The sequence below is a fragment of the Homo sapiens genome, chromosome 17 (genome assembly GCF_000001405.40).
Source record: "Homo sapiens chromosome 17, GRCh38.p14 Primary Assembly".
Lineage (NCBI taxonomy): Eukaryota > Metazoa > Chordata > Mammalia > Primates > Hominidae > Homo > Homo sapiens.
The window spans coordinates 66,025,713-66,050,841 of NC_000017.11; the positions used below are offsets into that span (position 1 = coordinate 66,025,713).

The 25,129-nt window shown below is 35.8% G+C and overlaps 1 protein-coding gene across 22 annotated transcripts in view; it reads right to left on the bottom strand.

Annotated features, from left to right (window-relative positions):
• Positions 1–25,129, bottom strand: part of CEP112 (centrosomal protein 112) — a 556,597-nt gene that overhangs the window by 390,176 nt on the left and 141,292 nt on the right. For 20 of the 22 annotated variants that reach the window (XR_007065281.1, XR_007065280.1, XR_007065282.1 and 17 more), the window contains 4 exons: positions 4,157–4,311; positions 3,411–3,540; positions 2,601–2,693; positions 1,789–1,848 (listed from right to left, as the gene is read on the bottom strand). Coding sequence is in view for 19 of the 22 variants with exons in the window: in NM_001353128.2 (NP_001340057.1) it covers positions 1,789–1,848; positions 2,601–2,693; positions 3,411–3,540; positions 4,157–4,311 (438 nt within the window). In the remaining 3 variants the exon portion in view is untranslated. Of the gene's footprint in view, positions 1–1,788; positions 1,849–2,600; positions 2,694–3,410; positions 3,541–4,156; positions 4,312–17,383; positions 17,499–25,129 lie in introns of those variants that run through there. The other 2 variants (XM_011524467.3, XM_005257126.5) reach the window with 2 other exon arrangements.

Genomic DNA, 25,129 nt, shown 5'->3' on the forward strand with positions numbered 1-25,129 from the left:
TAGTATAATCTCCAAGGAAAACAGTATAGAGACTTCTCAAAGAACTAAAAATAAAACTACCATCTGATCCAGCAATTCCACTTCTGGGTATCTACCCAAAGGAAAAGGTCATTATTCATAGGTTTCTCACAGCATGATTCACAATAGCAAAACATGGAATCAACTTAAGTGCCCATAAATGGATGACTGGATAAAGAAAATGTGGCATACACACACACACACACACACACACACACATATATAGATATATATAGACCACACACACACACACCCCATTTGTATGTACATTATCTTAAATGAAACAACTCAGAAAGGGAAAGTCAAATGCCACGTTCTTATTTATAAGTGGAAGCTATATAATGGGTACACATGAACGTAGAGTGTGGAGAGTGTGGAATGACAGACACTGAAGACTTGGAAGGGTGGGAGGTTAGGAGGGGACGAGGGATGAGAAATTACTTAATGGGTACATTATTTGGGTAATGGTTACACTAAAAGCCCAGACTTCATGATTATGTAATATATCCATGTAAAAAAACTGCGCTTGTACCCGTTACATTCACACAAAAATTTTAAAAATAAATCTATAAAACTCTGCACTTTACTGCCTAAGGTATTAAGTGTGTCAATAACCCCCTAGTTATTACAGGAGGGATATCAACATGTGTCAGTTGAAATAGTACTATAAACAACAAGGAACAATTGCTAATCTTTTTCAAGTAGTAGTCAGTACTTTCATTGTTTTAGGTTCTTTTGTTAAAATGTTTAAAGTTCTTGTTGCACATATGACACAACAGAATACCAAATACATCCCATTGATTGTGTAGTTTTAAACTAGTAGAAAGAAAATATAATTTCAACATGTTATAATGAGAGGTTAAGATAATAATACAGTTGTCCCCCAGCATCCATGGGGAATTGGTGCCAGGGCCCCTTTAGGATACCAAAATCCATGGATGCTCAAGTCCCTTTTATAAAATGGTGTAGTATTTGCATATAACCTACACACATCCTCCTATGTACTTTAAGTCATCTCATAATAACTTATATAGTACCTAATCCAATGCTTACACATCACTTCATTCACATGGATTCAACATAGTACTTGACACATGGCAAATCCAAGTTATAGTTTTGGACCTTTGTGTAATTTTTTTTCCTGAATATTTTTGATCCATGTTTGACTGAATCCACAGATGTGAAATCCATGGATATGAAAGGCCAACTGTACTCTTCACTCATTAAATATAACACACAAGCAGTGTTTTAATGTTGATATAACTAATAATTGAACTGAAGCAGTTGTTTATTATATAAACAGGAAAAATAAGCAAAATTTAATTACTGGTTAGCTGAAATTAACTTAGAAACAAATTATTCTTGGCTGGGCGCAATGGCTCATGCCTGGAATCCCAGCACTTTGGGAGGCCGAGACGGGCGGATCACTTGAGGCCAGGAATTCCAGACCAACCTGGCCAAAATGGTGAAACTCCCTCTCCACTAAAAATGCAAAAATTGGCTAGGCATGGTGGTGCACACCTGTAGTCCCAGCTACTCAAGAGGCTGAGGCATGAGAATCCCTTGAACCTAGGAGGCAGAAGCTACAGTGAGCCGAGATCGTGCCACTGCACTCCAGCCTGGGTGACAGAGCAAGACTCTGTCTAAAAAAAAAGACAAAGAAACAAGTTGTTCTTTAAAGGTGAGAATGTATGGTTTCATAAAAATCAGTCTGCATTAATGCCTCATTTGCTATTTTAAATATTTTATAGCTTCCATAAAACATATTACCTTTTTTTCATAGATGTGTTTTAAATGACTTTTCTCCATCTGAAACTTATTTTCTTGATCCTGTGAATGATAAATGTTTATATTTATTATACTTTAAATTATACTAGAGTCAATAAAATTAGCAACCTAATTAAATCAATCAATCTACTTAATGTCAAACTTCAGTTCAGAGTTTTGCATATGATTAAGTAAGCCCTACAGGTAGAAATTGGAGTAGCTTTGTATTACGAGGCATAAAATCTTAGTCACCTGAAGATATTACTATTCTCAAAAGCACTTGCTTTACAGTATAAGAAAATCTTTCTGACCCTTAGGATTAAGAGATTACTTCAAAAATGACCAAGTCAATAAATATGGAAATGATAAATTTGAAGTTACATCATGTAACAGTCCTTGGTATTTTTTGATCACGAGAGAAAAGAGATCTAAAAGGTGCAAAAGAGAGAGACAGAGGGAGAGAGAGAGGCAGAGAAAGAAAGAGGGAAAGAAAGAGAGAAATTATGAAGATTGGCAGGTAATTTAAAAGAAGGAAATTATTCTAAAATAATGATATATTTAAATAAAATTTATTTTTAAAACTAATCTCAAAAGAGATCATTCCAATTCAAATTATTGTACTTTATTCTCTACATCTCAAAGCATCAATCTCTATTAAGATAAATAAAATGTAAAATTATACAATGCGATAAAAGAATCAGAAAAGATGACCTGCATTTCTGAGTTTTATTTTTTTAATTGACTCTCAATGATACATCTGAATCAAGAAAACTGTGTTTGACCATTGTTCTTCTGTGTAGAAATACAAGACTCACCCTTAGTTGTTGCTTTCTTTGAAGTTCTGATTCCTGTAACTGCTGTTTTAATTGACAGACATTCTGCTCTAATTCTTCAATCATACTAGATGCCTACAAGGATTTTAAGAAGAATAAAAAGCAGAATATTGATTTTTGTACCATATTATACTTTCTGATTGAAAAAATATGCCTTTTGTACCCCTGAAAGTCCAATCAGAATTAAAATTATCTAGAAATTTGAATGAAAAATGTTTTTAAAAGATACTAGAAAAAATAATCTTTTAAAGTAAAAATATAAATTAAATGCAGCATAGTATTAAATATTATGAAAATGTAATGCTGACATAAAAATATAATCTTTTAAAGTAAAAATAGAAATTAAATGCTACATAATATTTAATGTTATGGAAATGTAACACTGACATAAAAATAATAGCTTTACAGAAAACTTCAAAATTTTAATTATAAAATGAAAGCAGAACCAAGATTTCAAAACAATAATAACGCATATAGTTACTCTATGAAATGTATTATTCATACAACTAAGCATTGGAATTTATATGTTTCCTCCTTTTAAGACTGGCACTTAAAATGATTAGCTTATAGCAGAATTCAGTTTATTAAATATTTGTGTTGTGCTATATAGTAGACATTTCGAATTTTAAACATTTTAAATACCAGTAAAAATTCCTGAAGTTCCTGTTAATTTAAGAATAAAGTGAAAGAGAGATTAATTTCAAATGCCAAATAATTTCTACTTGGCTATCTATGGCTCTAGGCTTAGTGAATAAATACTTCATGTGGATTATCTATTAACATAAATAATACCTTAGAAGCTGAAAGAGCATGTTCTTGTTTTAGAAGGTTTATATCAGCATCATATTTGGTTTGTAACAGTTTCATGTTTTGCTCATAATCATTTACAAGATGGTCCTTCTCTTTATGCAGTGTGTTACGCCTAAAAACAAGAGAATAAAATAGACTTTCAATGTATTTAAAACCAATCTCTAAAATGAAATTTTTTAATCAGCTAAATCCAAATACATTTCCATTCAATATATTAAATAAGTATCCACAATTTTGTCAACTGCTTCTAAACATTCTGCTTATGTTAAAAACAGGTTGGGTACAGTGACTCATGCCTGAAATTTCAGCACTTGAGGAGGCCAAGGCAAGAGGATCACTTCAGAAAAAGAGTTTGAGACCAGCCTGGGCAACAGAGTGAGACCGTGTCTCTACAAAAAAATAAAAATAGAAAAATTAGCCAGGCATGGTGGTGCATGCCTGCAGTCCTGGCTACTTGGGAGGATGAGGAGGGAGAATCGTATGAGCCCAGGAGTTTGAGATACAGTGAGCCATGATCACACCACTGTACCCCAGTCTGGGTGACAGACAGAGACCCTGTCTCTAAATAAACAAACAAACAAACAAACAAACAAACAAACAGCAGTATTTAGATTAGAAACTTCCCAAGGCTAAACGCACAAGGTGTAATTAATTTTGGCAGATAACTGATACAGTTAATATCAGTACTTTATAGCTACACCTGATAAATATCTGATTTCAGACAATACCTTGCCTTTACTTCTTGTAATTCACTACACGTTATCTGGTAACATCTTTCAAGTTCTGCTTTTTCTTGAATTAATTTCTGCCTCTGTAAATTACTGTTCTCTGCTTCTCCAGTCAGCTGCTGGACACGGGCCTCCAGTTCTTTGATCATGTGGTTCTAAAAGAACAGGTCATGGTTAAGAAAGTCTCTGACTCAGTTGTAACACTTTTGTATCTGTAAGAAGCTTGAGGAACACGTATAATCTATAAGAATAAATAAAACAAATGTATCATAAACCATGGTAGTAGAAATTAAATCAACCTTGAACTTAACCAAGTCTTTAAAAAAACAATGCATACTACCAGAAAAATAAGAACATCACAGTTATATACTTTTAGCCTTTTGTTCATTTAATGAATATTTACTGAGGCTGGTAATATTCAAGAATGTAGATACATAGCAGTAAATAAGACAAAGTTCCTATCCTCAGGAAGGTTTCAGTCTCTATGCCTCTTTATACGTACGGCCATTAGCTGACTACTTACCAGTGATCTTTGCGTTTGATTTTAAGTTTTTGAAATGTGTTATAAGAGTAATGTAATAGTATTTTTAAAGGAAATCCATAGCCCCAAAATTGTAGCACAAGGGTGTTCACATAAGTGATACACTTATTTTTAAGTGTATAGGAACATTTAATTAGTTGTGTTAGTGTGCAAGATTTTTATTCATTTTTTAACATCTTTGCCGTTTTGTAAAATGCACTTCTCTACTCTTCCACAGTATTAAGATTATCACTCAACTAAATCATTTCTCTATTATTTAATATTTATTTAGAATTTTTCCCCTTTGTAGAACTGCAATTTAAAACGTGGATAAAGGTATTTATCATCTTTTAGATACTTTATCTAAAATTAGGGTAAGCAAGCATTAGATGAAGGGACAGTTAATTTTCAGTTTTAAAATTAAACTTCTAATAAGTGTGAGCAATAAGGATAGGTTAGTATGATGTTGCACTCAACTATTGTGTTATTCTAAGAGAACCATTTTAAAGATGCAGTTTAAGCATTAGATAATATTACAACCCTGACATCCTTTCTTCATCTCATCCTTTCTTCATTACAATACCAAATAGGTATACAAGTTAAATTTTGGTGTAACAGCTTCCAATCTATATAAATGACTTATCTAACTTAAAAGCATGGTTTATAGACTAACTTCTTTAAATGCATACAATTCTAGACTGACAAACATCAGAAGTTCTGATTTCTTCTTCCTGCATCTTATTCACTTTGTCTCTTCATTATCCCTCTGCTTTAGGAGCTCCTTTCAGAAAATAGTTTCCATTTCCTAATATATATTCTAAACACCCTTTATGTCCTGCGTATTCATTAACTGGAAGAAACAAAGAACATATACTTTGCCTTCCAGTTTTAGATGGCGGAATAAAGATGATTTGTATTCCTTCGTCTCTTGGAAACCAAAAACAGACAAGATAAACTAAAAATAGAAATGCAAATTCCATACTAATAAACCCTACAAGAGGATATTCTATTATTGGCAATAAAAGAGTAGCTTGCAGCAGATCACAATCCCAATGCTAACAACTGAAAAACCCAGTTTTGTTTTGTTTTTTTTTTTTGTTTTTTTTTTTTTTTGAGACAGGGTCTCATAGCGCAATCTTGGCTTACTACAGCCTCAACCTCCCAGGCTCAGGTGATCCTCCCACCTCAGCTTCCTGAGCAGCTGAGACTACAGGTACATGCCACCACACCTGGCTAATTTTTGTACCTTTTTTGGTAGCGATGGGGTCTCACTATGTTGGCCAGGCTGGTTTCAAACCCCTGGCCTCATGCAATTCACCCTTCTCAGCCTCCCAAAGTGCTAGGATTACAGGCGTGTGCCACCATGGCCAGTGAAAGATTTAATTAGTAGGAAAGCACTTGAGAACTTCTAAGGCAGTTTGAAAACATCATAGAGATGAGGCATCATCCTGTAAGGTGCTTTTACCCTAGAGGTATTTTTCAATGACGGAAGATGAGGATGGGGCAAGGAAACAAAGGCAGATGGTGGCCGAGGCAGCCAGGACTTGAGGACACAAGATCCCTCAGAAAAGCAACACACAGAGAAGTGGGCACCACACCAGCAGTTTTCTCAAGAGAATTTGTCAAATTCTTTTTCTTTTTCTTTTTGGAGATGGAGTTGCACTCTGTCCAGGCTGGATCTCGGCTCACTGCAACCTCCACCTCCCAGGTTCAAGCAATTCTCCTGCCTCAGCCATCTGAGTATTGGAATTACAGGTGCACACCACCACACCTGGCTAGTTTTTGTAATTTTAGTAGAGGTGGGGTTTCACCCTGTTGGCCAGGCTGGTCTTGACCTCCTGACCTCAAGTGATCTGCCCACCTTGGCCTCCCAAAGTGCTGGCGTTACAGGCATGAGCCACTGCACCTGGCCAAATTTGTCAAAGTCTTAGCATTCACAGGGCAGGAAGCCAAGAAACCAAGTGAAAAAAAAAAAAAAAACTCAGAAAAGCACACTAGAGTTTTCTGCAGTATCAGTGTACTTAGGAGTAAAATAGATTGTCCAAGGAGGAGAGCCCCTAGTATTAATAATATCACAGGCTTTCAGTTGAGACCTGTGTTGAGGACTACCACTAGGAGCGAAAGTTAGTCAAAAGTAGACCAAAGATTACCAAGATTGCAACTCAGCCTTGAGTCAATTCAGTCCCTGAATGGATCCAGTGATCTGTCTCTACACCAGCTGCCTCTCAGAAGTGAGAGAAGAGCCTCTCTGGAAGAAGATAACATCATCCACAGCCTTTATTATTTTTTGTGCACAATGTTTGGCAATTAATCACAAAATAACAGGCATACCAAGAAATAAAATCAGAGGAAAAATAGAAATAGACATGCAGATGCCCCATATATTGAAATTGTAAAACATATGAGGCATGTGTTTTCCTGACTCAAAATATATGAGACATCACACAAAATTAAGTGAAGATCAAATATAATTACAGGAATAGTCCAGAAGAAGAAGTCTCGTGGCTGGAAATCCTGAAAATGTCATCAGAACACACTTGTACAAACTAAGTGGCATGCAAATAACATCGCTGGTTCAATAATAACAGATGCATACATTCCAACTGTAGCTTCTTTCAACATAATCTGGCACGAAAAAGAAGCAAGAAAGATTATGCTGAATGAAAAAAATCACACAAACCATTTTTGCACAAAGCAATCTATGGATGAGATTGATTAAGGGAAAGAAATAACATTATGAGCAAGTAAAAACTGTAAGAGCAAACAACCAACATAGAAGAAAACAAAATGGAGATCCAGCATTTACCTAGTTAGTGTACCTAAAGAACAGAAATGGTAGAACAAGAAAATGTACCTAATGACATACAAGAAAACTATACATGAAAATAATATACAAATAGAGTATACTGTAAAAGTCACACAGAATGAAGAATGCCAAGACATAAGTAAAATTATTAAACTTCAAGGAAATGATCCTTTTAAAGCATTAATCAGACCTGTCACTCTCTTGCAAAACCCTCCAATGGCTTCTCTTATCACTCAGAATAAGAAGAGACTATCATGGCCTCTGATTTCATCTCCTACCACCCTCCCTCTCATTTACTATACTCCAGCCATACAGGCCTCCATGCTGTTTCTCAAAGTCATCAAGCTAGCCTCAAAGCCTTTTCATTTACTGTTCTCTCTGCCTAAAGCATCTTCCTCCAGGGGCCTGCATAGCTCATTTCCTCACTTCTTTCAGTTCTCCACCTAAATGTCATCTTGTGAAGGAATCTTTCCATAGCCATTCTACCTAAATAAGCAGATCTCTACTGCCTATATTTCTGTGGCCTCTTACCCTTTCTTTTGCTTTTTCTTTCTTTGTTGTTTGTTTTCCACAATAAAGTATAAGCTTAAGACAGCCAAGACATTGCTTTATTTGCACTAGATCTCCTGTTTCTTTCTAGCACACTGCTTAGCTTGTAGTAGGTATTCAATAAACATTTGCCAATTATCAAAACAGCTGACCTTGAATGATATGGGTTTGAACTGTATGGGTCCATTTATATGCAGATTTTTTTTTCAACTAAATGGTGATCAAAAATACAATATTCACAGGATGTGAGACCCACTTACATGAAGGGTCCGCTTTTTCTGTACCCAGACTCCACAATGCCGATTGCAAGACTTGAATGTGTGCCAATTTTGATATACACAGAGGTCCTGGAACCAATCCCCTGCATATACCAAGGCACTACTGTATTCTCAAAAATAAAAACAGGATAACTGCTAAAATGTCAAAATGTCCCTTCCATATTCAAAACTGGAGTGATTTCTGGCCATATTATAGAAAATATTAGCATTTTATAAGGTTATAACAGGGTTACAATGAGGAAATAACAAACATCTGTCCAATATAGAATATATCAAAATGATTTTTGCATGTTTTATAAAAAATAGAGATAAAATACAAGAAATCCAACATAGAGGTAAAGATATTCCCCTCTATATTAAAAGAATTTCTGGAAATCTATTTCTTTTTTTCCTTATATGAATCCAAAATAAATGTGAACATCATAAAATTTTAGAAAGTATCAAATTGCTAAAGAAATAAACCAAGGCAAAGGGGGTTGAATTACACAAATAAATAAATCCACAGACTTTGCCTAAAGAAAAAGGGTTTCTGTTAGCCAGAAAAACCAGACAGCTCTCTTTCTACAATGTGAATAATTACAGTGGAGATGAGAGAAAAAATGCTCAGATAAAAGCATAAAACTATTTTTATGAGAGAAAGAAAAAAAGAGATAAAACAGAAAGATATCCAACAAATCAGAGAAGAAAAATGATAGACATTGAAGCAATATTGTGACCTCAGCTATCTGTATATCATTGAACAAAGTAACAGTGATAAAGTGAACTTGAATTTTTTTTGTTTTTGTTTTCGTTTTTGTTTTCACTGAGACAGAGTCTCACTCTGTCGCCCAGGCTGGAGTGCAGTGGCGCAATCTCGACTCACCGCAACCCCTGCCTCCCAAGTCCTAATGCTTCAGTCTCCCAAGTAGCTGGGACTACAGGCATGTGCCACCATGCCCAGCTAAGTTTTTGCATGTATATATATATATATACATATATATATATATATTTTTTTTTTTAGTAGAGATGGAGTTTCGCCACGTTGCCCAGGCTGGTCCTGAACCCCTGACCTCAAGTGATCTGCCCACCTAGGCCTCCCAAAGTGCTAGGATTACAAGCGTGTGCCACCACGCCCAGCCTGAACTTGAAATTTTGACTAAGGAATTATTAAAATGATGAAAAAAATTATCAGATCTGAAAGGAAGAGATTTGTGACTAAAATAGGTAACCCGAGGACTGTACCTGTTCAAAAGGAGCAGAACTATGAGAGGACGTGGTTCCTGTTCATTGCCCTATTAAATGCTGTGGTCTGCACTACTGGCCAGTCTTTTTGAGGATATGCATGTATTGTAAGTACCGACAAGTGAGTACCTCTGTGAACGTGCTACTTGCCCATCCTTATTTGTCTTCACCTGTTGACAAACCTTCAGGTTCCAACAGAAAACAACTGTTGGTGAAGTTGTGGAGAAACTGGTACCCTTGTGCACTGCTGGTGAGAATGAAAAATGGTATAACCATTATGGAGAACAGTATGGAGGCACCTCAAAAATTTAAAAATAGAACTACCAAATGATCTGGCAATCACACTTCTGCTTATTTACCCAAAAGAACTGAAGTCAGGATCTCAAAGAAATATTTGTACTCCCATGCAAAAGTATTCACTATAGCCAAGATGTATAAACGGCATAGCATAAACCAGAGAAAATGGTGAATAGGAGATGGGACTAATGTGCAGCTCTCTCCTGGATGGACAGAACAGCATCTGGAGACTCACATTGTGAACTTTTGCTCCAAGAACCACCACAGAAACATACCAGGAAAACCAAAAGAATTCACAGACCCTTTGAATAAAACAGCTTGCCACTGCAAACACCACAAGACAGCCGAAAAACTGAGCTCCCGAAGTGTGATGGGGGAAAGTCAGCCTCCAAATACACATCCACACTGGGGAGCCTGAACAATGTAAATGTCCATGGATGAATGAATAGCTAAAGAAAATGTGGTATATACATGCAATGGAATATTATTCAGCCATTAAAAAGGGAAAGCCTGTTTTATGTTACAACTTGAGTGAATCTTGAAAACATTATGCTGCATGAAATAAGGTAGTCAAGGAGGGACAAACACTGCATGATTCCAGTTACAGGAAATATCTGAAATAGTCAAACCCATATAAACAAAGTAGAGTGATGATTGCCAGGGGCTAGACAGAATGGAAAATGGAAGTTGCTACTCAATGGGTACAGAGTTTTAGTCACGCAAGACAAAAAAGTTTTAAAGATATGCCAATAATATCGTGCCTATAGTTACTAACACTGCATTGTACCTTAAAAATGTGTTAAGAGGGTAGATCTCACACTATGTGTTTTTACCACAATAAAAAGAAAAAGAGAAAACAATGGCTAAAACTTAACACCACATTAAATGTGCATACATGTAAAATTCTTGCCCAATAACCAAGGCTTCATGGACCACCGACGTATTTTGATGATGAATATAATGACAACAGCCACCACTGAACCCTCATTATAGGTCAGGCACTGTGCTAAGTGTTTTACCAGCTTTAGGCCATTTCTCTTTCCCGCAAAACTATGAGGTAGGTATCATTAACATCATTTTAAATATGAAAAAACTAGGACTTAGGAAAATTGATTAACGTGGCCACAGTTGCCCTACTGGTAAACTGGTAAGCAGCAAAAAAGAATTTGATCCAAGATCTCCTTGAATCAAAACCTATTCCACTGCATTACATCTTCTCCAGGACTTTGATATTCTGCTCATGGAATTAACATAAAATAAATTTGCAAAAATACCTCGGGTAGACATATCATTTCAAAACATAAAGTAAACAAAGAAAAGCTAAAATGCAACACTGCAATACTTGAGGTCTCTTTCTTAACCTCCCACATTATTACTGCTATTATTATCAGTCCCAAGATAAGATATTTTTTAATTGTGTAATTTGAAGGTTGTAGTGTTTTCTACCTTGAACAATCTATTATAATAAAGGGCTGGCTAGTGAAATTCTACTCATTTCTAAGCCCCTTTATTAAAATGCTCATTCCAGGAGAAATGAGACTCATGAATGGGATATTATAATCTATTTGCTAAAGGAACAGACCAGTAGAAATAATCTGTTACCATAAAATGTCTCCTAAATATGTGTGGAAATAAAAGTGGCTCATTATCCAATGATTTCTTAAACATATACTTTAGTTAGCTTAGATTAATAAAGTCAAAAGTTATCAGGTTTAAAATATAATAATTTTTAAGAACTAAATTTTAAAATATACAACCAGAATGCTCTAAAAATAACATTTCAATATCCATCCACTCTCCAGCTCTCCTTCTTCCCGTGACCACCTCTCTCTCTCCTCTCCCTGTTCTCTCCTCTCTCCTCTGGCTCTCCCGTGCTGGTCATGCTAATGTCACTGCGGTATTATGACATTAGCATTTCAAACTACATTGAACAATTCTAACTATAATGCTAAGTAATGATTAAATCATCCTTCTTTCCAGTATTTATGCATAGTCTTTCCCCCATTTCAACAAATTAAACTGCCCATCCTGAATTTTATCATGACTTCCATAGGATGATTTTTCTTATAATACTACAAGATTATGTTTGTCTTTCCGTAACAACAATTCTTACTCTAGTACCATAAAAGTATGAAAAGTACATTCCCAATTACTTCATCAGTAATAGAAATAAAAAGGACAGGCCCCAGAACCAGTCCCTTCAGCACACTACTCACCATATTCCATCAGGCTCATACTACTTTTTAAAATGAATTTTACAACATACCTGAGGCCAAACTTTACTGGTTTGTCAAAAGACTACTTCTCCTGAGAATTCTTCAGAAAATAACTCAAAGAATGTTATGTATAATATAGATTTTAAGTATATACATAGATATGATTATTATATATCTGAGGCCCACCAGATGGACAAAACCAATCTAGCTGGTACTGTCTGTGAAGGCTGACATAAGGTTAGGAAGTCCTGGGGCTGTACCAGATACAACAGGGAGTCGGAGGTTGCAGTGAGCTGAGATCGCGCCACTGTACTCTAGCCTGGCAACAGAGCAAGACTCTGTCTCAAAAAAAAAAAAAAGAAAAGAAAAGAAAAGAAAAAAGAAGATTCTGATACGATTTATTCAAACAGTGAACACCTGCCAAGACATAACTGCTGTTAGAAGCTGGCATGCTTTCTCACATGCAGATAAGTATTACATGAAATGAAAAAGTGGCCTTTGCATTAAGATCTCTATTTGTCAAACAAATACTTTTGTATATACTGATGCCAAGTTTCTGACTGAAGAAGCAAACTATGTGACGTCACTTATTCATTTTATTTTTGATTTTTAAAGCATTTTCTGAACACTAATGTTCTACACACAATTTTACACACAAAGTACATAAATTTTGAACCTATAACATCAAGGGAAAGCCTATAGGCATATATAAAGTATCTTAAAAACAACAACATTTGCCAAATTAATTTTTTAAACGGAATAAAAGAGCTGAGAGGATGCAAAATAGTGGAGTTCTTAAAATGGAGTAAAAACTTAGTCAAGAAAAAGAATGCTGATGTAGAACTATGTTTTGCCGGCTGTAACAGACAATGCAGAAGCAGAATTCAGTGGTATATGACAACAGAATCAGGGAAGAAATAAGTTACTGTACAGAAAATGATGAACAGATTACCTTGTATGAACAGGATATCTTCCCACATTGGGAACTGAAAGGTAGCACTTGGAAAACTAGGTTGGACTTCGTGAACTGATGTAACTTGTAAGCATTAATTATAATAGGCATGATACTAGGAACTCAGATTCTTAATCATGGGAAAATTAGAAAAAAATGCATCTATTGGCTATGGAGTAAGAGGAGACAGGGAAGAGTAATTGGCAGGTTACTGGAAGAGTCAGGAATGAGGCAACAACGGCCAGGACTCAATTGGTAGCTGTGGAAACAGAAGGGAAGAGAGCAGATCCAGGAAAATTTTCAGAGAGGTAAAATGGATGATTCTGTAACATACTAAATAAGGGAGATGAAAAGTGGGAAAAACATAAATCTTCCAGGTTCAAAATTTAATGTGCCAACAGAATGATGATGATGCCAACTGACAAGAGGAAATTTGGGAAAGGGTATTATTTTGGTATTAATTATCATAGGTTTGATTTCCTATAAGTTAAGTCTTAGAAAATATAAAATGTCTCATGGTCTTTTCATCGTACAACATCTACTGACATAAGAAGTCAGTACTGGAGATATAAATGTTGGAGTTTTACATACAAACTTAATTCGAAACCTTGTAGGAGTTAAAAATTAAAAAGGGTTAGTATTAGGCAACTACTTGGTATCCACAGTTCTCCTATGGCAAACCCCTATGGCAAAAAGAGCAACTAATTTTATCTTATTTCACAAACTTCTTATGAAAATAGGACATATTTTCATAAGAAGAAGAATTTATCCATGAAAATAGGACTATTTTCATAAGAAGTTTGTGTGCCACTGCACTCCAGCCTGGGCAACAGAGCAAGACTGCATAAGTCTTAAAGATAGAGTTTATGATTTATAACAAAAGGTGCTTATGTCTTAAAGATACATACGTTTATGATTTGTGAAGTTATAAATCATAAATCTTAAAAATAAATTCTGATAACTTTTTTAAAAATTGAAAACTCATGAGCCACTAGAAGTGTGAACATTGCCAGCCTCCCTAAAGCCTTATTAGTTACCCTCCACCCAAAGGTAACCACTATTTTGACCTCTATCAGTACAAATAAATTTTGTCCTTTTCAAACTTTGTATAAATGGAATCACACAGTATGTAACTTTTTGGGGTCAGGCTTCTTCATGCATATTATATGCCTATGGGATTCATCCATGTTGTGGAATGTAAGAGTAATATTTTTCAGTACTGTATATAGCATGCTAAAATAATTTACCCATTCTATTGATGAGTTGTCTTCAGTTTTTGACTATTAAAAATAATGTGGCTATGAAAACTCTCATACATGTTTTATGATGCACACATGTACAGATTTCTTTTGGTTATACATGTTGCAGTGAAACCGCTGTCATAAGATGTGCCTATGTCAAGCCTCAGTAGTTACTATCAAGGAGCTTTTCAAACTGGATATAAAAATTTGAACTTCTTACAGCAGTGTATGAGACTTCAGACTATTCTGTATCTTTGTCAAAACTTTGTACTGTGATTTTGTTTTTTTAATTTTAGCCCTTTTTGTAGGTATGTAGAGATACTGAATTTACATTTCCCTGACTATTAATAATTTGAGCACCTTTTTAAGTGTTTATTAATCATCTGAATAGCTTCTTTTGTGGGCTGCCTATTCAAATACATTGCTCTTTTTTATTGAATTGTTTTTCTTGATGATTTTTTTCTATATTTAAAATGCAAGACCTTTATTGAATAAAGGAATTGCAGATATCTTCTTCCATTCTGAATTGCCTTTTCCCTTTTTTTCTTTTTTTTTTTTTTTGAGACAGAGTCTTGCTGTGCTCTGTTGCCCAGGCTAGAGTGCAGTGGTGCAATCTCGGCTCACTGCAGGCTCCACCTACTGGTTCAAGAGATTCTCATGCCTCAGCCTCCCGAGTAGCTGGCAGCATGTGCCAACCACGCTTGGCGAATTGTTGTATTTTTAATAGATACAGGGTTTTGCCATGTTGGCCAGGCTGTCTCAAACTGCTGGTCTCAGGTGATCTGCCTCCCTTGGCCTTCCAAAGTGCTGGGATTACAGGCATAGGCCACCATGCCAGCCTCTTTTCCCTTTCTTAATGATACCTTTGGTGATCAAAAGGTATTAATTTTAATATATCCTAATTTATTAGTATCTTTCTTTAAGGTAAACATTTAATTTCCCTTTTAAGAAACCTTTGACTAGTCCAGGCCAAGAAGATATTCTAAGATTTCCTCTTTAAGTTTTATCATTTTATCTGCACATTTAATTCTAAGATGTTCCTAAAATGGGTTTATTAAATGATGTGAAGGTTCAAGATGCATTTTTTCTATATGAATATTCAATTGACCAATTTATTGAAAGAACCACTTTTCACAGTAAATGGCTTGGTAAAAAAAAAAAGTAAATAATTGTAATTTTCATTAAAACTATTATCCTATATTACTAGTCCCCAAAATTCAAAAGAACAAGGAGAAAATGATTTTAGAATTATTATATAATGAATATACATTGAGAAACAAAAAATATAGCCATCACCAAAATAAGTATTGTAGGAAATTAAAATTTTTGTCAAACAAGGAAAAACATTATGTTTGACCTAAGTGGCAAATAGAGCAGAGTTTAAATGTTAATTTATTAAAAAACACCTTTAAGCAAAACAGTGTATAGCAGGTCCTCAAATAACATCATTTCATTATAATAACGAGAAAAAAAATTTGGTTTCATTATATGTCACTTCACTTATAATCAGTTTCCAAAAACCTATCAATGACATTAAATAAGGACTTACTGTATACACAGGCTAGTATATACTGTATACACAGGTCAGTATTTCCTTGGTCAGGTGAGAGGGTGCAAGAGAAATGATACCCCAACCGCAGCATGCATAACTAGCACACAGATATTGGTTTCCAATACCATTTCTCCATATAATCCGTATTGATGGGGCCATGTCCAAGAAGCACAGAAGTCAAATGAAAGAGCTCCCAATGGCCAAAGCTGGAACAATTTGAGCAACAAAATGAAGAAATATTGGCTTATAACCCAAAGCATAAGAAAAATATCCACATTCTCATATTAGTATGAATAAATAATAGAATAAATTGATAAATAAGGAGAAAAAGTCTCCCATGCAGAAAAATTCCAAAAATTTATATAGATACCCCACCCTCAAGAGCAGGGAGTAAAACTCCCTACTTCTTAAACACGGGCTGCCAAACGGTAACTTCCTTTCAAGTAGTACAGTATGGAAAGGTGGGGAGTAACTTTACACTGGAGAAACCTAATTAACACTACCTCAGCCAGATGATCAAAATTAATATGCACAGGTATGATGTCATGTTGATAATATGTATTCATGGCTGGGCACGGTGATTCATGCCTGTAATCCCAGCACTTTGGGAGACTGAGGAAGGCAGATCACCTGAGGTCAGGAGTTCGAGACCAGCCTGGCCAACATGGCAAAACCCTGTCTCTACTGAAAACTACAAAAATTAGCTGGGCATGGTGGCACACACCTGTAATCCTAGCTACTCAGGAGGCTGAAGCAGGAGAATCACCTGAACCCAGGAGGCGGAGGTTGTAGTGAGCTGAGATTGTGCAACTACACTTTAGCCTGGGTGACAGAGAGAGACTGTCTCAACAAAATAAAATAATAAAATAATAATAATATGTATTCATGATATGATACGATGAGAATAGCACTTTAACTCTGAGGATCTTCCTGCCTAAACCCACAACCCCAGTCTAATCATGAGGAAAGCATCAGACAGTTTCTACTAGATGGGCATTTTACAATATGCCTAACCAGTCAATACTCCTCAAAACTGTCACAGTGATAAAAAACAGGGACAGTCTGAGAAATTATCACAACCAAGAGGAAAGTAAGGAGGCCTAACAACTAAATGTCATGTGGTATCCTAGATGAGATCCTGGAAAAGAAACAACATTAGGTAAAAACGAAGGAAATCTGAATAAATGAAAGACTTTAGCTAATAGTGTATCAATATTGATTTACTTATTGTGAAAAGTGTACCAAGATAACCTAAGATGTGAAAAACAGGAGAAACCGAGTGCAGGTTATATGGGAATTCTCTGCACTATCTTCTTAAATTTTCTGTAAATCTAAAACTATTAAAAAAAAGTGTCTATTTTTAAATGGTCATTTTATTCAACATGATGAATTGGTGCTATTTGGAGATTCTCTCGATTATAATCATTGTGAGCTTGGGAGAAGAAATGGTGATAGAAACTATAAAATCAAATTCTAGCTATCTCAGTGTGTCCATGAGTAGTTCTATGAATTATCATATGTCACTACTAACATAGTTAAATATTTCAGATGTCTAAGGCTTTTGGCACTCTTTAAGGTAAAGGATCTTAACCTACCTTAACCTACCATAGAGGATCATGGATGGAATTCAGACTGTCGCTGAATTTGAATTTTTTCTTTAAAGTTCACTTTCATTTTCACCACCCTAACTGAAAGTTAACATTTCCCAATTGTGAATGTAGTCATCAGACAAAGGTAGCATTAGCAATACCTGGAACAAACAGAAATCATGGATATTTTTATAGTTCATTACACTACTGAGCAATCACTATACATTGTTTACCCTCATTAGAAATTACTATCATGCCTACTGCTAGATTTTGATATTTACTGCATTAATTTAGAAGCATATGTATTACTTTATCACAGTTTTGATTTATGAATATTTTAACAACTGTAACTCAATATAATTTTTCTTTGTAATCTTTTATTTTTAAAATACTATTCTGAGAAGGACTACACAGAATTCACCAGATTCCCAGCAGGGTCCATGGTACAAAAGATGTTAAGAACTCCAGTAAGAAAGCCTAGAATCTCAATAAAGCCGCCCACAGATTTTCAGTGTGTCTAAACCCTAATGTCAATAGACCCTATCATTTTACAGCCTTCATCTTCCCAAGCATCTAGCAAGGAAGCTATAATTTTTATATTTACGTTTTAATATTTGTTTTAAAAATCTATTGTTTGCATATTTTCACTATGAGTTTCTCATAAGAAAATCCCTGCCAATACCAAAATGCGTAAGTCTCATAATCTATACAAGTGTCTGCTTACAATAAATGGCAATAAGACAACACTAGACTCAACAAAAAAGAAAAAAGCCTGAAAGAACAGCAAAACAGAGAAACTGATTCTCAGTGACAGTCCCGTCTTTCATCTTAAGCCAGGCCTTGAACTCTACCTTGTTTAATTATTAAATCAGGAGCTGCTCAGCAAGACCTGTCTACTTTTGACGATTCTTAAATTCAATCCTGCTGACAGACTCCGTCCATGTTTCTCTATATTTACTAGTATTACCTATGACAAGGTTTGAATGCTAATTTTTAAAATTCAACTTTCATTAAAAATAGAATGAAAGTTCTCTGACAGGTACCTCTTGGCTCCAAAGCATGACTTTTCTTTTTATCCCAAACTTATAAAAATTAAAAATTCCATTGTGAATGATATTTCTCTCAATATTATTTAATAAATAAAATATACCTATGCAATAAACATCAAAGCAATATATTTTACAAATTTCCATTGTAATATTATTTAATATATTTATTAAATATATTCACTTTGTGAAGATTTAGAATGTTGAAATAATGAAAATGTATTTTAGATTTAAATTTGTTTTTTGTCCATGCCTTTAAATATCAAAGAGGTATCTGTACACCCACGTACACGGCAGCATTATTCACAACAGCCAAAAGGCAGAAGCAACTCAACTGTCCATCTGCCAATGAATGGACACACATGTGGTATATGCATAGAGTGGAATTATTATTTAGCCTTTAAAAAGGAATTTTGACACAAGCCACAACATGAATGGACCATAATGACATTATGCGAAGTGAAATACGCCAGTCACTGAAGGACAAATACTGCATAATTCCACTTACATGAGTTTCCTAGAATGGTCAAATTCGTAAGAGACTAAAAGTGAGGAACTGAATAAAGACGGCAAATGGAGAATTATTGTTTACTGGGTACAAAGTATTAGGAAAGATGACAAAATTTGGAGCTGGATGGTAGTGATAGTTGCACTACAGTGTAAATGTACTTAATGCCACTGAACTATATACTTATAATTATTAAAATGGTAAATTTCATGTTACGTCTATTCAATAAAAAAAGAATGACGAAAAAGAATGTGATGATTTATTTGTATCCTAAATATATAAAATGTTCCTATAAATCAAGGAAAAGAATAACTCAATTTAAAAATAGACAAAGGGGATGAAATGGCTATTTTAAAAGGCCAAGAAATGTAAGAGCCAAAAGGGAAATGGAAATTAAAATAATACATTTTTTCAAGCTAGAAACAAAAAAAAAATTTTTTTTTTTGAAACAGGGTCACACTCTGTCACCCAGGCTGGAGTGCAGTGGTGTGATTATAGCTCACTGCAGTCTTGGCTTCCTGGGCTCAAGCAATCCTCCCACCTCGGCCCCACAAGTAGCTGGGACTACAACGTGCACTACCACGCCCGGCTAATTTTTTTATTTTTTGTAGAGATGGGGTCTTGCTGTGTTGCTCAGGCTGGTCTCAAACTCCTGGGCTCAAGTGATCCACCTGCCTCAGCCTCCCAAAGTACTGGGGTTACAGGCGTGAGCCACCATGCCTGGCCAAAATATTTTAAAATTTGGTAAGTCCAAGTCTTGGCAAGGATGTGAAGACAATTCCTACTCTTGTTGAGCAGTGCCATAAACTGGTATGACCACTTTGAAAAGCTTACTATGGATACAGAAATTACACTCTTAAATACATACTCCCTAAAGCAGTGATTTTCAAATTGTGGGTCTCAATCCATGTGAAATCAAGTTTTAAATCACAACCCAGCAATTTTTAAATGAAATTAAACAAAATGAAAAATACAGAATATGTTAGAGTAAATGGCCAATAGTAAAAATGAAACTTTTGTTTGAGTTATAAATATGCAGACAGATGTGTGCTCATATATGTACTTGTGTATGTTCTGGGCATAATTTATTAAATTTATTTCTTACTGGGAGTCATGGTCAAAAATGAAATGAAAGCCAGTGGCTTAGAGCAGCAGTTCTCAAAGTTTGGTCAACAAACTCCTGAGCTTCCCAAAGACTCTTTTAGTAGATCCACAAGGTCAAAACTATTTCTATAACTATACAAAGACATAAATTGCCTATTTCACTATCATTTCCTCACAAGTGTACAGTGGAGTTTTCCAGAGGCTACATGACACATGATACCACAACAGAATAAATGCAAAGACAGATATGAGAATCCAGTTGCCTGCTAAGACAGACGTTAAAAAGTTTTTTTTTTCTTTTTCTTTTTTTTTTGAGAGAGAGTCTCGCTCTGTCGCCCAGGCTGAAGTGCAGTGGTGCGATCTCTCCTCACTGCAAGCTCCGCCTCCTGGGTTCACGCCATCCTCCTGCCTCAGCCTCCCGAGTAGCTGGGACTACAAGCGCATGCTGCCACGCCCGGCTAATTTTCTGTATTTTTAGTAGAGATGGGGTTTCACTGTATTAGCCAGGATGGTCTCAATCTCCTGACCTTGTGATCTGCCCGCCTCGGCCTCCCAAAGTGCTGGGATTATAGGCGTGAGCCACCACGCCCGGCCAAAAAGTTTTTAAAAATATAGTCCCCAAAGAAAGCATACACCATACTAGTGTGTTTAACTACTAAAAATGGGTCCCAAATTTGACTCTGAGCAACCTAAACAAAATAGAAAACATGATCGTTTATAAGGATCTTCCATGAGCATATTAAGCTTTTCTCCTTCTTAAATCCAATGGTTTAATTTTTAATATTTTCATTTATAAGTGATAACATAATTAAAACAAAAATTAAATCACATTTTTTACCTATTTTGTGAGCTGAATTGTGTCCTCCAAAAAGATATGTTGAAGGACAATCTCCCGTACCTATGAGTGTGGCCTTATTTGGTTGGAAATAGTGTCTTTGCAGATGTAAGCAAGTTAAAATGATATCATACTGGATTAGGGTGGGCCCTAAATCCAACAACTTCTGTCATTATGAGAAGGCCATGTGAAGACATCGAGACAGAAATACACAATGAAAATGCAAATGTTGACAGCAGGACTGCCATGCTGCAGCTGTAAGCCAGAAAATGGCGAGGACCACCCGCAGCCACCAGAAGCTCCACAGAGACAAGAAGAATTTTCCTCTACCAGAACCTTCAAGAAAAGCAGGTTCTGCTGGTGTCTTGCTTTCATTCATACTTCAGGTCTTCAAAACTGTGAGGCAATAAATTTCTGTTGCTTTAAGCCACTCGGTTTGTGGTCATTTGCCACAGCAGCCCTAGGAAATCAACATAACTATCAAACTGGCCAACTTTCGGTTTGTTTTTATTTATTTTTATTTTCATTTTTATTTTATTTATTTATTTTTTTGAGATGGAGTCTCCCTCTGTTGCCCAGGCTGGAGTGCAGTGGCATGATCTCAGCTCACTGCAACCCCTGCCTCCTGGGTTCAAGTGATTCTCCTGCCTCAGCCTCCTGAGTAGCTGGGATTACAGGCACACGCCACCATGCCCGGCTAATTTTTGTATTTTGAGTAGAGACAGGGTTTCACCATGTTGGCCAGGCTGGTCTCGAACTCCTGACCTCAAGTGATCCGCCCACCTTGGCTTCCCAAAGTGCTGGGATTACAGGCGAAAGCCACTGCACCCAGCCTGTTTTTAATTAAAACACCCATCTTTGGTTTGAAAATGTAGAAGAACGGACATTCACATATACTTTCAATTAGAGAGTAATTTTATTATGTAGATATTAATTTTTTTCTTTTTCATCATCTCTTTTCTAAAGTTTCAATAGTGAGCTTGTATATCTTTTTGCAATAACAAAAACTTTCATTTTAAAACCACTATTGTCACCATTATTTAACATTTTTCTGTAAGTTCTAGTCAGTGTATGATAAATTATAAAATACTTGCTACATACATGTAAAGGGTTGAAATTTCTAACACACATTTATTCTTGAGTCTTTTCTACAGCAGAAATATAAAACTTTATACAACAAAAGTTTGAGACTCAGGAATAAATATTACAAAAGATGTCCTAAAGACCCCAGAGTACTGTTTTCTTTATTAACTTGGTAAATTGATTCTAAATGTACAATCATCCCTTGCCATCTGTGGGAAACTAATTGCAGGACCCCCTACAATACCAAAATCCAGAGATGCTCAAGTCCCTTATGTCAAATGACATAGTACTTGCATATACCCTATACACCCCCTGCTGTATATTTTAAATCATATCCAGATTACCTACAATATGTCTAATACAATGTAAGTGCTACATAAATAGCTGTTATGCAGTACTTTTATTTGTATTATTTCTATTGTTGTATCATTTTTGTTTTTTTTTTTATTTTTTTGAATATTTTTATGTGTGGTTGGTTGAATCACAAATGAGGAACCGATAGATCCAGACAGCTGACTGTATTTGTAAAAGGAAAGGGCCCAGAATGGCCAAGACTCTTCTGATGAACAAGGAAGGAAGACTTCCTTATCAGACATCAAGAGTAATTATGAAGCTGTAATAGAGATGACAGTATAATCATTGCAGAGCCAGAGAAATTATCCAATGTTCACATATATAGAAGTTCAATATATAAGAGCAGGCATGACAGATCAATGAAGGAAGGAGGAATTACTCTAAAGTAAAGCTGGGAAAAAAAAGTTATCCACATAGAAAAAAACAAAATTAAATCTCTTATCCTGCATTAGTCACAAAAACTAACTCCAGAAGGATTAAGGCCTCAATGTTAAAGGCAAAACTTTAAAGTTTTTCATAGAATATATAGGCGAACCTTCTTGCACTTACAATACAGACAGATTTGTTTAACAAGACATAAAAAGCACTATTTTGTTTTTTTTATTTTTGAGACAGAGTCTCGCTCTGTTGCCTAGGCTGGAGTGCAGTGGCGTGATCTCGGCTCACTGTAACCTCTGTCTCCTGGGTTCAGACAATTCTCCTGCCTCAGCCTTCTGAGTAGCTGGGATTACAGGTACGCATCACCAAGCCCAGCTAATTCTGTATTTTTAGTATAGATGGGGTTTCTCCATGTTGGCCAGGCTGATCTCGAACTCCTGGCCTCAGGTGATTCGCCCACCTCGGCCTCCCAAAATATTGGGATTACAGGGGAGAGCCACCACGCCAGGCCAAAAAAGCACTAAGTGTAAAAGACTTATACATTTGACTAAGTTAAAATAAGAACTTCTTTCATCAAAAGACCATCTTTCCCTCCAAATCCTATCAGCTGATGTATTACAATCTAGGAGACTGTCGCTCTCCAAAGTTGTATTTCTCTCCCTTAGGATTACAAGGCTTGCTGATCGCACATGGGAATTTGCAAAGGAGAGTTCAACAGTGGTCCTGTGGTATTATGGAGATCTCTCCCTGAGGTTCACCCCATCCTTGCTACTTGAACAGACTCTAATTGACCAAAACAAGGACCTAGTCTTCCAGGTTTTCCCCAATATGCGTAAGAGTAACTTATAAACCCAAGGGACATGGGCTCACAGTCCAAAATATCTAGATACCTCAAAAAAAACACTATGAAAGAAAGTCAGCAGTACTTGCATATATATAATAATATTATCACCTATATTATCATTCATAATACACAGCACATTATGACTTATATAACATTCTGAAGATAAATTATGAGAACAGATGAACTAAGAATTTTAAATAAGCTTAATTAATAAAGAGTCAAATGAGGCCAGCTGCAGTGGTGCACACCTGTAATCACAGCACTTTGGGAGGCCAAGGTGGGTGGATCACCTGAGGTCAGGAGTTTGAGACCAGCCTGGCCAACATGGCAAAACTCCATCTCTACTAAAAATACAAAAATCAGCTGGGCCATGGTGGCACACACCTGTAATCTCAGCTACTCTGGAGGTTGAGGCAGGAGAACCGATTGAAGCCAGGAGGTGGAGGCTGCAGTGAGCTGAGATTGTGCCACTGCACTACATCTGGGCGACAGAGTGAAACTTCATCTCAAAAAAGTAAATAAATAAAGAGTCAAATGAAAATACTAGGTATAAAAAATAATCACTGAAATAAAAAGTAATAGATCCCTAAGCAGGAGTAACTCTACCAAAGAATTAACTGATGAGAGTAAAAACAGAATGAGAAACTATCATAGAAATAAAGAATAGGAAGAAAATACAAAGAGATAGAAAATATAGCATAAGACCTAAGAGGTAGAAGGGATAGATCTTTTCAAAGAAATAATGATTGTAAATACTCAGAACTAAATTAAAAAACTCAAATTTAAAGGGCTCAAAATAATGCCAAAAAGTCCATAACTAGAGACATTATAGTGATATTTACATATATAAAAATCAAAGAGATGATGTTCAAAACTGCTCATCTCAGATCTTCATACTTGAAAACCAAGTGGGGTCACATTTTTTTCTAATGTTTATTTTTTATTAATAGATGTGGCTCCAGTGTCTTCTGGAAATGGATATTGAGATAAAGAAACCTAAAGGTATTTCGCATTTTTTCTCATATTAGTGACTTAATTTTTTGTTGTTTTTTCTTCAGGGTAGGGGAATGGGGAGAGGATGTCAGTGTTTTACAATTTGGACACTCAAAGGATTCTAGAGCCTCAAGGACTCCCAGGGATCTGTTCACCACACTTGGCCAGTTGCCATGGTAAAAACCTCAACTGTGCCTGAAGTCTCCCAATCCAGAGACTGTTGTATTCTCTCCAGAAAATAACCTAGTGTCTTCTGCTGAGTTGTAGAAGAGACAATCCCATGCTTCACAAAATGGGGGAGAAGATATAAAGATTTGGTCATTTTTTATTTTATTATTTTTAAAAAGTCGTATTATCAAATATCTACAAAATTACAAAGAAGAGTATAAAAAAACCCCTTGTACCTAACACTCCAATTAAACATCTAGCTGCCTCTTAAATAGGCCTTCTAGCAATTTATGTGTTGAAGGGCCACTTATCAGCCCTCTTCCAGAGATGCCTGGAGCCTCTGGAGCTCCCATGGTGTAATTCATCTTGCTTCTCAGGTTCCTTCACTGCTGATTTAGGGTTATGCTTTCTTGAGCCTGCTAGATCAATTTCAACAAAT